This window comes from Homo sapiens, chromosome 9 (genome assembly GCF_000001405.40).
Source record: "Homo sapiens chromosome 9, GRCh38.p14 Primary Assembly".
NCBI lineage: Eukaryota > Metazoa > Chordata > Mammalia > Primates > Hominidae > Homo > Homo sapiens.
Window position 1 is genome coordinate 123019174 of NC_000009.12, and position 13213 is coordinate 123032386.

Here is a 13213-nt window from a genome sequence, read left to right on the forward strand (position 1 = left end):
GATAACTTGTAGTGATATAGTAGTTCAGTGGAAATGTTATTAGCCACCATAAACATTCAGAAAAGTTATTTGAAGGAAAGCATCATAAAAACTGTTGGAAACATACTTGAGATATTTTATTTTAACTTAGAACATATAAATATACAATATTCTTGTCAATTTTTTTTTTCTAGACAAAGTCTGTCTCTGTCACCCAGGCTGGAGTGCAGTGGTGCGGTCTCTCACTGCAGCCTTGAACTCCTAGGCTCAAGCGATCTTCTTGCCTCAGCCTCCCAAGTAGCTAGGAATATAACCATCATGCCAGCTTATTTTTATTTTTCTGTAGACACGGGGTTCTTGCTATATTACCTAGGCTGGTCCAGAACTCCTGGGTTCAAGAAATCTTCCCACCTTGGCCTCTCAAAGCAGTGGAACTACATGAGTCACCATGCCCTGCTGACCACTTGTCAGTTTGATGTAGAGCTAGGTTCTTGTCATTTATTATATGTCCACTGATTGGAATTTTGCTCTTTTTTTGTTTGTTTGTTTGTTTGTTTTGAGACAGTCTCGCTCTGTCACCCAGGCTGGAGTGCGGTGGTGCAATCTTGGCTTACTGCAACCTCCACCTCCTGGTTCAAGCAGTTCTTCTGCCTCAGTCTCTTGAATAGCTGGAATTACAGGCATGCGCCACCATGATGGGCTAATTTTTTGTATTTAGATGGGGTTTCACCATGGCGCCCAGGCTGCTCTTGAACTCCTGACCTCAGGTGATATACCCACCTCGGCCTCCCAAAGTGCTGGGATTACAGGCGTGAGCCACCGCGCCCGGCCATCTTTTTTATATAAACCATAGCCATAGAGCTTCATCTGTGATTTCCAGTTTTGCTTTTTTTTTTTTTTTTTTTTAAAGTAGAGAAATAATTTAAAAATACTTAAGAAGCCTTTTGCAGAATCTATGTGGATTTTTATTTTCTTCCACCCAATCTCTCTTAGTTATCTTGGCCTCATCTAATTCAGAAGCACTTTTTTTTCCCTTTATTACTTTGTTACCTTGTCACGTATTTGTAAGCCATTTAAATTGACTTTGATAAAAGTAACATTCTTTAGAGAATCTTATCTTCCTTTTATGATTTATGGTTTATGGCCTTATTTTTAGGCATCTCAACTTGAATGTGAGACCGAAGCAGTTGTCATCCTTAGTAAGAAACGGTGTCCCTGAAGCTCTTCGAGGAGAAGTCTGGCAGCTGCTAGCAGGCTGTCATAACAATGACCACCTGGTAGAGAAATACCGCATTCTTATCACAAAGGTAAGGGGGTGATAATTCAGCTTCAGCATTAATCCTTTTAGAGATTTGTGATGAAAAGATCATTATAGTTATTTGACTTATAAGAAGTGTTTATTATTAATTTATTTAAGAATAGAACTGTTAATACTTCCAGCTCTAACATGTTTTTTCTGTTGCACGAAGAAGTCATAGTTTTTTCTCCTTGATTCATATCACCTCAGAGACCAAAGGTGTCTTCTAGCCCATTGTATATCCAGATTCTTTTTTGAGTGTAAATAACATTTTTAGTCAAACAACTTGTGCTATGCAATGTGTAAAAATTTTCTTTTGATTATTTTAATACTTCTCACATTTTACAGAAATGTGCTCTTGGTAGGAAAGGCTTAGTTCTTCTTAATTCTTCTGCAACTGTAAGAAAATAATTCTTTAATCTAAACCATATTCTCTTTTAGCTCATTCCTCTAAAGTGAAAAAAATCTCATTTGTATGGTGTTCCCCTTCTGAAGTTCATGCATTCCTCAAAGTTTTGCAAGCAAAACAAGAAAAACTATTTCTTCTACAAGCATATCAGGATTTAAAGTAATTTTCTGCAATGTTAGGCAATGTTTTGTGCCTTTGTGTTCATGTTTTCGGTTTTAGTTTTAATTTTCTCAAATTCTTGAAGTGTTTATCTTCAGGAAGCAGTTTCTCCAATAGTATGCAAATCCCAAACCTGGGTCGTGAATGTATTGCTCAGAATCTTCAAGAATATAGGAGATTTTTCAATGTGACAGAAGGTAAAACTTTGTCTTAAAAAAGAAAAAAAGTTAAAACCTTATAAATTATGAATGATATCTCTCTGTAAAGCTGTTATTTAAAAAAAAAAAAAAAACCTTATAAGGGAAGAGCAGGCTTTTTTTTTTTTTTTTTTTGAAATAGAGTCTTGCCCAGGCTGGAGTGCAGTGGCATGATCTAGGCTCACCGCAACCTCTGCCTCCCGGCTTTAAGCAATTGTTGTGCCTCCATCTCCCAAGAAGCTGGGATTACAGGTGCGCACCACCATGCCTAATTTTTGTAATTTTAGTAGAGAGTAGGGTTTCTCCATTTTGGCCAGACTGGTCTTGAATTCCTGGCCTCAAGCAATCCAACTGTCTTGGCCTCCCAAAGTGCTGGAATTACAGGTGTGAGCTGCCTCACCTGGCCTGGAAAAACAGCATTCAAACATGAGATAGGACCTTCACCAGAAAATGACTTTTATGTCTTCAGAATATTAATGTTCTTTCCCATCATCCTATATCCAGACAGATTTTTTTTGTTTCAATAAGTATTCTGATTCCTTCCATTAAGTTGATATAATTGTTTAGCTAGTATTTATCGTTGAGTAACTGTTACAACCACAGTGTTGGAGCTGGGAGGTTAAACACAAAAGCAAGTAGCTGTCTTATGATAGAATGTGTCTGAAAAAGCACAGTGGGAGCCATCAAAAGAAGTTAACAGTTCTATCTGGGAGAACAGAGGAGTCTTTATCAGGAATATAACATTTGAGATGAATTCCAGGTATAGAAAGATGGGTACAGCATTGTACTCATAGTATGAACAGAGCCACTGAAGAATAAGGTTATATAACATGTATATCTAGCAGAGATACACCTAGTTTTTATTTTCTTTTGTTGGCAAATCATATTTTGGATTTGTAACACTACTTATTTTTTTTGAAGTCCTTTGAAATGTTTGGTCAAAAATGATTCTTAAGAGCTTATTGCTTTAAACGAAATATTTTGGTAAGACTATTCATAAGACATGAAGTGTCTGTAACTGAATGGATTCTGTTTTTCTGGTTCCTTGAAAGTGGTGACGTCTGTTGATAGAAAAGGAACCTGGTAGTTATATGATATGTAAAAGAAAGACTATTAACAAAATATGAAACATTTGATTGATTTGTATATACTGGTGATGTGTACTTTATATTTCACATTAAACTTACAATTTTGTTTTTCTTTTTGAGACGGAGTCTAGCTCTGTCACCCTGGCTAGAGTGCAGTGCAGTGGTACGATCTCGGCTCACTGCAACCTCTGCCTCCTGGGTTTAAGCGATTCTCCTGCCGCAGCCCCCTGAGTAGGTGGGATTACAGGCACCTGCCACCACTCCCAGCTAATTTTTTAATTTTTAGTAGAGATGGGGTTTCACCATATTGGCCAGGCTGGTCTCGAACTCCTGACCTCATGATCCGCCCGCCTCGACCTCCCAAAGTGCTGGGATTACAAGTGTGAGCCACCGCGCCCGGCCCCCCAAATTTTTTAATGAATATATATTAATTTAAATTGCTAGTAGATGATCAGAAAATAGAAATTATTTAACCACCATAATATTTGTGAATTTAAAAAAATGTCAGTGATAGCTAACGTAAGTTGGTATTGCTTTTCTTTTCTGTCTTCCTGGAATTAAGAGTTATCATTGTGTGGGAATGGTAATTGACATCTTTTAACTTACTCTGAAATGTTTTTGGGGGGAGTAAGGTACTTTTTACAGTCTACTCTACCAGCTGAGCTGTCAAAGTTTGCATATAAGTTACTTTTTTAAAAGTGCATAGCTCCATGACATTTTACATATAAATACACTGCGGTGACCACTATCAAGAGCAAGAACATATCCATAACCCCCAAAAGTTACTCATGTACCTTTCTAGTCATAAATACCCTTACTACACCCCTGAGTAATCATTATTCTGGCTTTTCTCTCCTTAGGTTAGTTTTGATTGTTCTTGAATTTTTTCTGTTTTGGAGATGGAGTCTTGCCCTGTCACCGAGGCTGGAGTGCAGTGGCATGATCTCAGCTCACTGCAACCTCTGCCTCCTGGATTAAAGCGATTCTCCTGCATCAGCCTCCCAAGTAGCTGGGATTACAGGCACACGCCACCAAGCCTGCCTAATTTTTGTATTTTTAGTAGAGACAGGGTATCCCCATGTTGGCTAGGCTCGTCTCGAACTCCTGACCTCAGGTGATCCCTCCCCTCCCTGGCCTCCCAAAGTGCTAGGATTACAGACGTGAGCCACCACACCCATCCTTGAATTTAATTTAAATGCATTTATACAGTCACACAGCACGTGCTCATTTGTATCTCACTTCTTTCGTTCATCTATTTTGAGAGTGTATCAGTAGCTTGTTTTTTGTTGTCTTTTTAAAAAATTGTTTAGAGTATTCCATTATATGAATAAATTACACTTTAAAAATATATTCGGCTATTACAAATGTTTGTTTTTTTCCAGTTTTAGCTATTATGAATAAAACTGCTATAAACATTCTTGCACACAGCAGGATTTGTACATATTATACTTATTTAGACAATATTTGTGTATATATATATACACACCACTAATTTCTATAAAGTATTTATTCTGAACATGGCTTCTTTGCCAGATATATGCGTTGTGTTCTGAAATTTTACATATAATATTACTTTGAGATTTTTTTTTTGCTTAGCTTCTTCAAAGACTAGAGCAGGAAAGAGTGACTTGATTTATAGAGTGAAGATCAAAAAAATTAACCTGGCAAACAAAACTGATTAATGTCTTTGTCATCATCTTGCATTAGTTGTCAAGCCTGTCTTGTATGGGGTACATGTGGGAAATTTTCAATATACCATTTTAACCCAAGGACAAATGACCTTTCAGTAACATAAAATACATAGTATGCTTTTAAAGGTGTTTCTTATTTCAATAAGCAATGGAGTTAGTTTCTTCTTCCCGTTTTGCTTTTTAAAGTGAAAATTTTTTAGGTTTTTAAATTTCAGTAGGGATCCAGAAGGGAAATAATAGAACAATAGTAATAGCTACCTTTTTTAGCACTAAGTATGTGTCAGATACTGTGCAGCGCACTTGGATGTGACAATTCACAGTTCCACCAGCAATGTAGTTGCATATAGTTGTACCAGCAAAGTACCTGCTGCCCCATATCCCAACCAGTATTAGTTGTTATATTTAATTTTTACTATCAGTGGATGTAAGTGATGCCAGCATATCTTTTTTTTTTTTTTTTGAGACAGAGTCTTGCTCTGTCTGTCGCCCAGGCTGGAGTACAGTGGCACGATCTCAGCTCACTGCAACCTCCGCCTCCCGGGTTCAAACGATTCTCCTGCCTTAGCCTCCTGAGTAGCTGGGATTACAGGCGCATGCCACCGTGCCTGGCTAATTTTTGTATTTTTAGTAGATACTAAGTTTCACCATGTTGGTTAGGCTGGTCTCGAACTCCCGACCTCGTGATCCTCCCACCTCGGCCTCCCAAAGTTCTGGGATTACAGGCATGAGCCACTGCATGTGGCCTAGCATATCTTTAGTTTGCAATTCTCTGGCTACCAGTAAATTTGAATGATTTGCTCTTCTATTTATGTTCTTTGTACATTTATCTATGAAGTCTTTTTAAGATAACAGTTTCTAAACACTCTCCATATATTATGTTTACTGATCCTTTTCATATGCATTATAAATATATTTTTTAATGATTTTATTTATGGTTTTATGCCATACAAGACATTTGCAGTTTTTATGTAGAAAATTGTGTCTTGGTTAAGACCTCTTCTGTCTCTATATTTTGTAAATGTGGTTTCCAACATTTTCTTGCAAGATTTTTATTCTGTGTGTTAATTTTTATGTCTTTAATCCATCTGGAATTTATTTTTGTATGTGGCATGAGAAAGCAGTTCGATTTTACTTTCTTCCAGATGGATAACCAGTTGTGCTACTCCTATTTTCCTACTCAGTAGAACTACCATCTTTGTCATATTTTAAATTCTCATATATGCTGGGATTGATTTCTAGATTGTTCTTTGTATTATTTGTTTGCATATTCCTGTCCCCACACTGTTTTGATTAAAAAGGCTTTGTATTATTTCTGATAGCTGTGAAAGCAAATCTTTGTTTTCTATCTCATACCTTACTTGACTATTCTGCAAATTTAATCTGCCATAAAAACCTTAAAATCTTTTATCCAATCTCACTACCACCATCACCCTATAAGGTTATGTGGAGATTGTTATTTGAATTGCATTTAATTTACATACCAGTTGAAGGTATAAGTTTAACATGTGAGAATGCAGTATGTCTTTTTATTTGTTCAGATCTTTCTTTTCTTTTTTTTTTTTTTTTTGCCTTCAAGAATTCTGAATTGCCTTCATAGGGATCTTGTAGCTTTATTGTTAAATTGGTTCCTAAGAATTAACTTAGCATGTTCACACTACAGCAAATGGAATAGTTTTGTCAGTTTCCATTTGTAGGTGCTAACTGCTACAATAGGGAAAAAGAGAGTGATTTTTACATTTTTTCTATTTGCCTCTTAATATTTTGATTAATTGTCCTAACTTTATATCGTCATCTTTTGAGATTTTCAGGTGTGTAATAATATCAGCAGTAAAAACGGTTTTACCTCTTTTACAATGTTTATGCAGCCTACTACATTTTCTTGGTTTCGTCTTTATATTTTATAGAAGCATTAAGACAATGTTAAATGATGATGGTGATAACTAGCACCCCCATCTAATTCCTGAATTTAATTAAAATGGTTTTAGTTTTTCAATCTTTTGGAAAACATATTCTTTTTTTTTTTTTTTTTTGGTAAACAGTTTGTTTTTGGCCGGGCGCAGTGGCTCACGCCTGTAATCCCAGCACTTTCGAAGACCGAGGCTGGTGGATTACCTGAGGTCAGGAGTTTGAGACCAGCCTGGGGAACATGGCAAAATCCTGTCTCTACTAAAAATACAAGAATTAGCCGGCCGTGGTGGTGGGCACCTATAATCACAGCTACTCGGGAGCCTGAGGCAGGAGAATCGCTTGAACCCCGGAGGCAGAGGTTGCAGTGAGCCAAAATAGTGCCACTGCACTTCAGCCCAGGTGACAGAGTGAGACTTAAAATAATAATAAATTGTGTTTAATTTAAGTGGTTTCCTTCTATCCCTGCTTTGGATTTTTTATTAGGAATGTTACTGAATTTTATCAGCTTTTTCAGGACTATTACTGATTTTCTTTAATTTGTTAATGGAATAAGTTACATAATCTATCAACATGTGATAGACTTCTTATATTGAACTACTACCCTTGGCTTCATGGAATAAATTTTTATAGACCAAGCACCCCTGGTAGTCTTTGTCTTCTGGTGTTTGATTAAGAGCTCCTCAACCCTGGCCTCTAGGTAGAACTTGTCAGACTCAGAGGGAAGAAAGCTTAATAAGTAATCCACAGAGACTCTCATGGCTTCTCTTACCTCCAGTTGCCTGTAATTCTTACAGCTGTTTGGATCTTGTGAATCAAATAAGTTGGAGTTGAAAATGAAGGGGAAACAAAGGCACTTTCTTGTTCCCGGCTTCCAGAATCCTCTTCTGTCCCTTCTTTCTGATGGTTATTTTTTACCTTTTGTGTTGGTGGCTTAGCTTCTTATAATTCAGTGCTTAGTAGCAAAAATTTACAGCAAACTACTTCTTCAGTAGATCATTTTAATAACGAGAGAATAATGAAATAGCAACCTATTCTGATGTTTTTCTTTCCTTCCATCCACTTGGCCTTGCTTATCTTTTCTTAAACTTATCTGCATCATTTTCTCTAGTTTCAACTTCAGTGATAAGAATCTTTAGCAAGCTTTTATCCAGAAGCAAACTAGTAGCAAGCTCAAATAACCAATATTTACATTTCTTTCTTTCTTTTCTTTTTTTTTTTTTTTTTTTGAGACGGACTCTCGCTCTCTCGCTCTGTTGCCAGGCTGGAGTGCAGTGGCACGATCTTGGCTCACTGGAACTTCCGCCTCCCAGGTTCAGTGATTCTCCTGTCACAGCCTCCCGAGTAGCTGGGACTACAGGCATGTGCCACCATGCCCAGCTAATTTTTGTATTTTTAGTAGAGATGGGGTTTCACCATGTTGGCCAGGATGGCCTCGATCTCTTGACCTTGTGATCCCCCCAGCTTGGCCTTCCAAAGTGCTGGGATTACAGGCGTGAGCCACCGTGCCCTGCCAACCAATATTTACATTTCTAATTGTTGAAAGGAATCCCTGGAGGCCCAGCCACATTTTGCTAGTCTGGAAAAAATAATGTATTCAATTATTATGTTATTACTACGCAGATTGTTTTGCTTTTTAATTAACAACTTCTGTCTGGTAGGTTTGTATTATTGAATAATATTTAATCATAAGCATATGCCTGTGGATACCCAACAATAAAAGGAGATCGATTTAGCAAAAAAGAATGTTGGCCATGGAGGAGGAAGCCTGGGTACTAGTTTCAGTTCTGCCGCTTCATTTCCTCTTCTCTGAACTGAGGTAGCTGAGGTAGTCTGTTGATTTTTCCTTAAGCTTTGACATTCTGGAAAATCAGACAGTGTGTTTGAGTCCTGCCCTCCAAAATAGGCCATAATTCCATTTTTTCACAACTGAGCACTCTTGCTGCCTTGTCCTACATGAAAATAGTGGCTGGTGGATGTTAGAACTGTATTGTCTGCTGTCATACAGCAATTGCTACAGTAGGTCCCTCTAAATTATTACTTGTGAACATAATTTTAAGCCCTATATCTTATCCCTGTGAAGTTATTTTCCTTTGTGTGAGTTTATGTAAGTCATACTTGCTGGGAGTTCTAAAGGTTTCCTGAATTATAAGACTGGAAACATATTTGGTTTGTCCATGTTAAAATTGCTATTTGACAGTTTTTGACCCACAAATAGGCAATTTCATATGCCTCGACCTAATAATTATAGGTGAGTTAAACAGTTACCATGCTGGGGTTTTACTTGAAAGATCTTTCAACTTAGAAGCAGAATTGCCTTTTGTTTCATTGGACATTCATTGTTTATTCAATAAAAAATACCTTTTGAATGCCTACCCTGTGCCAACCCTGTGGTAGGCCTCATGGATATGCCCATAAATAAAATAAACTTGTTCACTGGTTTCAGGAAGTCTGCAGTCTAATGAAGGAAATAGACAGTTAACTATAAACAATCATAAAGTTGCATGGGAGTTGTAGAAGAAAAAATATATACTGCTGTACTGCATATGACATGAAGGATTTCTCACCTAAGTGTTCTAAAAGGTCTCTTGCTCAGAAATTAGCCAGGGGTTGGATAGTTGGGGTGGGATAGGGTGCTGCATAACAGATGTGGTCTTAAAAGTCAGAGAGAACAGCGTGTACTCAAGGCAGTTCCATAGAGTGTGAATGGAGGTAAGACCAGAGAGGTGGTAGATAGGGAACAGATCTTTGAAAGCTTCAGAAGGCATATTTAAGGTTTTGGGCAACAGAAGCGAATGAAGCATTTTAAGCAGGCAGGTTATATATTCCGGTTTATAAGGCAGTATGCAAAGTGGTTTCCATCTAAAGGCAAATTGTCTTAATTCAGATCCTAGTTCTGCTGTATTCTAGCCATTGAAATTGGGCAATTTAACATTCATACGCTTTGGTTTCCTTATCTGTAAAATGGAATAATAATAGTTGTAGAGTTGTTAGAATTAATGTGTGAAAATTCTTAGTATAATCCATAGTCCATACTAAGTGTAAATAACTTAATATTATATATATTTTTTGCTTATTATCTGTATTATCAGGCTTAGAAAGATCACTCTGTTACTTGGGCTAGCATGGAGTAAGAATAATTGCAGCGAGACCCGTTAATAATTCAGGCAAGAGATAATTTCAACTTGGATTGGGGTGTAGTGGCAAAGGGATGGGGAAAAAGATGCTATTTAAGAGGATTTCAGAGGTAGAGTCCTTGGCACTCACTTGATGACTGAATGAATGTGGGAGATGAGGGCGAGGGAGGAATAAAAGATGAGTCAAAGTATCTCAAATCATTTTTGGAATGACAGTTACATAAATAAACTCACATCAGCTGCACTAAAATAATATGTTAATTAATCAATGTTTAAAGCTCATTTTTTTTTTTTACTTAATAAAGTTTTATTTTTCCAAATGTAGAGTTGCTTGGACCTGTTCATGCATCTTCACCAGCAGCTGGAGCATCTCTGCCCTTGGTATTTCTGGTGTAAATTACTTGAGCTCTGTGCTTTGAAACCAGTTTGATAAGTCCTTTACTAAGGAGCTCCAGAAGGGCTGCCCTGGCCAGGGAACCTCAAATCTTCAGTCTCTTAGAGACCACAACTGGAGTTATAAGTTTATAGTTGGGAACTTCCTTACAGAGTTTGTCATATGTAGCTTTGTCAAACAAGACAAGGTATTGAGCTTGTCCCTAACTTTGCCTTTGGACCATTTCTTCTTTTTGGCCTTGCCCCCGGGTTTGTTCACTGGGTCTTTGTCTTTCTTGGCTGACTTTCCAGTGTCTGTCTTCTTCTTGTAGTCCTTGGGTGGCATCGTGAAGCTCGGAGAGCAGTGGCGAACACTGCAGCCTTGCTAAGATGTCAGACAAAAAGTGAAGCTCATTTTTACCAAATAATAAGTGGTAGTTGACACTAATGCCCAGAGGTGAAGCTTAGGAATTTGAAGAACTGAGATAATTTATCATCTACAAGTAGTTAAGTCTCTGAATAGGTTGGGAGAAAAAGAAATATAATTTGAACAGGTCTTTTCCTTTTTTTGTTACATTTCATTTCTCGTTCTGCTTTTCTTTTTAAGCCTGTCATTTTGTTATTTTAATTATTTTGGCTTTTAAAGTTGTTTTAATTTCATTAGGTTGAACCATATAGAAATTGGCGTGTTTGCAGGTCAGAAAGTATTTAGCTAGCAATGAAATGGTTAAGTATCGGTAAGTTCGTAATTATATTCTTGTTCTGTAAGAGGTTTTAACTGACATTTTGGGAGTCCATTTTGAGTTAGATTGAGTACCAAAGACTGTCTGAAGGAATGTTGCTCTGATGGCATAAGAACAAGTGGAACAGAGCCCCATGAAGTAGACAACTTCAACCCAGCATCATTCTATCTTGCTAAATCAATATGGTTCTGAGAGTATATAGAAATTGGAAAATTCAGAAAATATAGAAAGCTATAAAGAAGAAAGATTTTTTAATGAATGTTATCCCACCATCCAATAATAGTGTTGATTTTTAATGTATTTCCTTTTAGTCATATATATATAGAAAGTTACTCAGCCTTCAAAGTAAATATAGAGAGAATATATCATGAGACTGCATTATTTTATTTTTTATTGTATTTTTTAATCAGCATATAACATACATACTTATGAGGTATATAAGGATGTTTTGATACATATAGTATATACTGATCAGATCATGGTAATTGTGCACATACCCATCATCTCTAACATTTATCAACATTTATCATTTCTCTGTGTTGGGAACATTCAGTAACCTCCTTCTAGCTATTTGAAACTACATAGTATTAACTATAGTCTTCCTAGAGTGGTATGGAACACTAGAATGAGTCTATGTTATGGTTAAAGACCAAATGTACATGTGGATTTCTGTAAGGATACAAATTTATAGAGCCTCCCCAAGTTGTTAATAAATTGTGTCTTTTGAAGAAAATGTTTTTCTTTAATCCAAAGCAAAACATTTAATTCCTGATTGATTCAGTTAAATGTGGCTATTAGTCTTTTTTTTTTAAAGTTTCTTAAATGAATATTTTGATTTTAGCTCCTAGAGTGGTTTCACTAAAATAGAAACAAAGTTGAAAGAACTGTTACTGTACTAATGGCAGTAATGTAACAGCTTGTAGTTTTGTTGCAATTTTATAAATTTTGAATTCTTTCAAATTTTCAGCCATTGTATTGTCTGTTTTTATCAGCGTAACTGTCTTGTTTTATACATGGGAAACCACAGAGAGAATAAGTTTCATGCCCAAATTCACAAGTAGTAGTAGAAAAGCCTAGACTTTTGACTTTGGTGAACACTTTTTCTGTTTATTGAAATACAGCAGTAACTCTCAAAAATCACTCCTTTATTCCGTATTTATTAAGGTGCTCAGTAAATATGGTTTAAAAATAAAGTCTATGGCAAGTGTATAGAAGTAATCTGATTTGGCTGGAGGGCAGGTTATTTGGGGGAAGTAAAACAGTTGAGATCAGACTAGAAAGGCAGTAAAGGAGCCATTGACTCTTGAACAATGGGGTACAATAATAAAATGTACATTTTGGATATTTAACCAGACAGAAAAGAAAAAATTAGAAAAATGAACAAAACTGTAAGTTTAGGTGGTAATCATCTTCTATGGTAAGTGTATTAAAAATTGAAAGGAGGAAATGCATTTGAGAACTATTGTGGAAATACATTTTCAGGACTTGGTGACTCAGAACTAAGTGCTTTGAGGGAGAGAGTGGTCAAGGTGATTGATTCCTAAGTTTCATACCGGAGTGCCTGGGAAAATGTTGGAAAAATACAGAGGCTTATTTGGTGGGAAAAAGGTTTTTGATTTTAGACATGCTGTGGTTGAAATCTCTACAGGACATCTACAGGACATCTTCCATCTACTGGTGGAAAATGTGTGACTAGCAGGCAAATTGTAGATGGAAAAGGGAGCTTAGGAGTGAAGTCAGGGCTGGAGACCTAGGCAGAGAAATTATTTATGTTGAGGGAATAATTGACGCCATGTCATCATTCCTTCTTTTCAGCTACCTTCAGTGCTTTGTATATGCATAGCCTCAATGTATTTGAGTAATGTGTGACAGCACTGTATTCAGATAGCTGTTGTATGACCTAGAACTGTATAGCCTCAGTAAGAGCAGGCCCTTCAGGATTCAGAGGAGCCCAGCCTTAAGCATTTCAACATGATGGGCAGGAAAACACTGGCTCTTAAGGAAGGCTACTTTAGTTGTAGGAGCAGAAAGTGAGTAAAGTTATATACCCCCTCTGTGCTAGGTGTTGGTAAGCCTTTTTTATATACTTTATTTCTCAACAACCCTGTGAAGTAAGGAGTGTTGTTCTCATTTTACAGATGATGAAACAGAGGCTTAAGAGAGGATAAGTAATATTAGAGCAAGAATTTGAACCTGATTATTGTTCCTTCGATGCTATTGGTCTTTTTACTGTGCC

At 36.8% G+C, this 13213-nt stretch overlaps 1 protein-coding gene and 1 pseudogene across 16 annotated transcripts in view; one reads left to right on the forward strand and one right to left on the reverse strand.

The window, feature by feature from the left end:
* The window catches only part of RABGAP1 (RAB GTPase activating protein 1), a 173196-nt gene that overhangs the window by 87503 nt on the left and 72480 nt on the right, over positions 1 to 13213 (forward strand). For 12 of the 16 annotated variants that reach the window (XM_047423130.1, XM_017014567.3, XM_017014569.2 and 9 more), the window contains one exon: positions 1136 to 1286. In XM_047423130.1, the coding sequence (XP_047279086.1) occupies positions 1136 to 1286 (151 nt within the window). Of the gene's footprint in view, positions 1 to 1135; positions 1287 to 1717; positions 7367 to 13213 lie in introns of those variants that run through there. The other 4 variants (XM_047423135.1, XM_024447476.2, XM_047423134.1 and 1 more) reach the window with 2 other exon arrangements.
* On the reverse strand, positions 10159 to 10639 carry RPS25P8 (ribosomal protein S25 pseudogene 8; annotated as a pseudogene).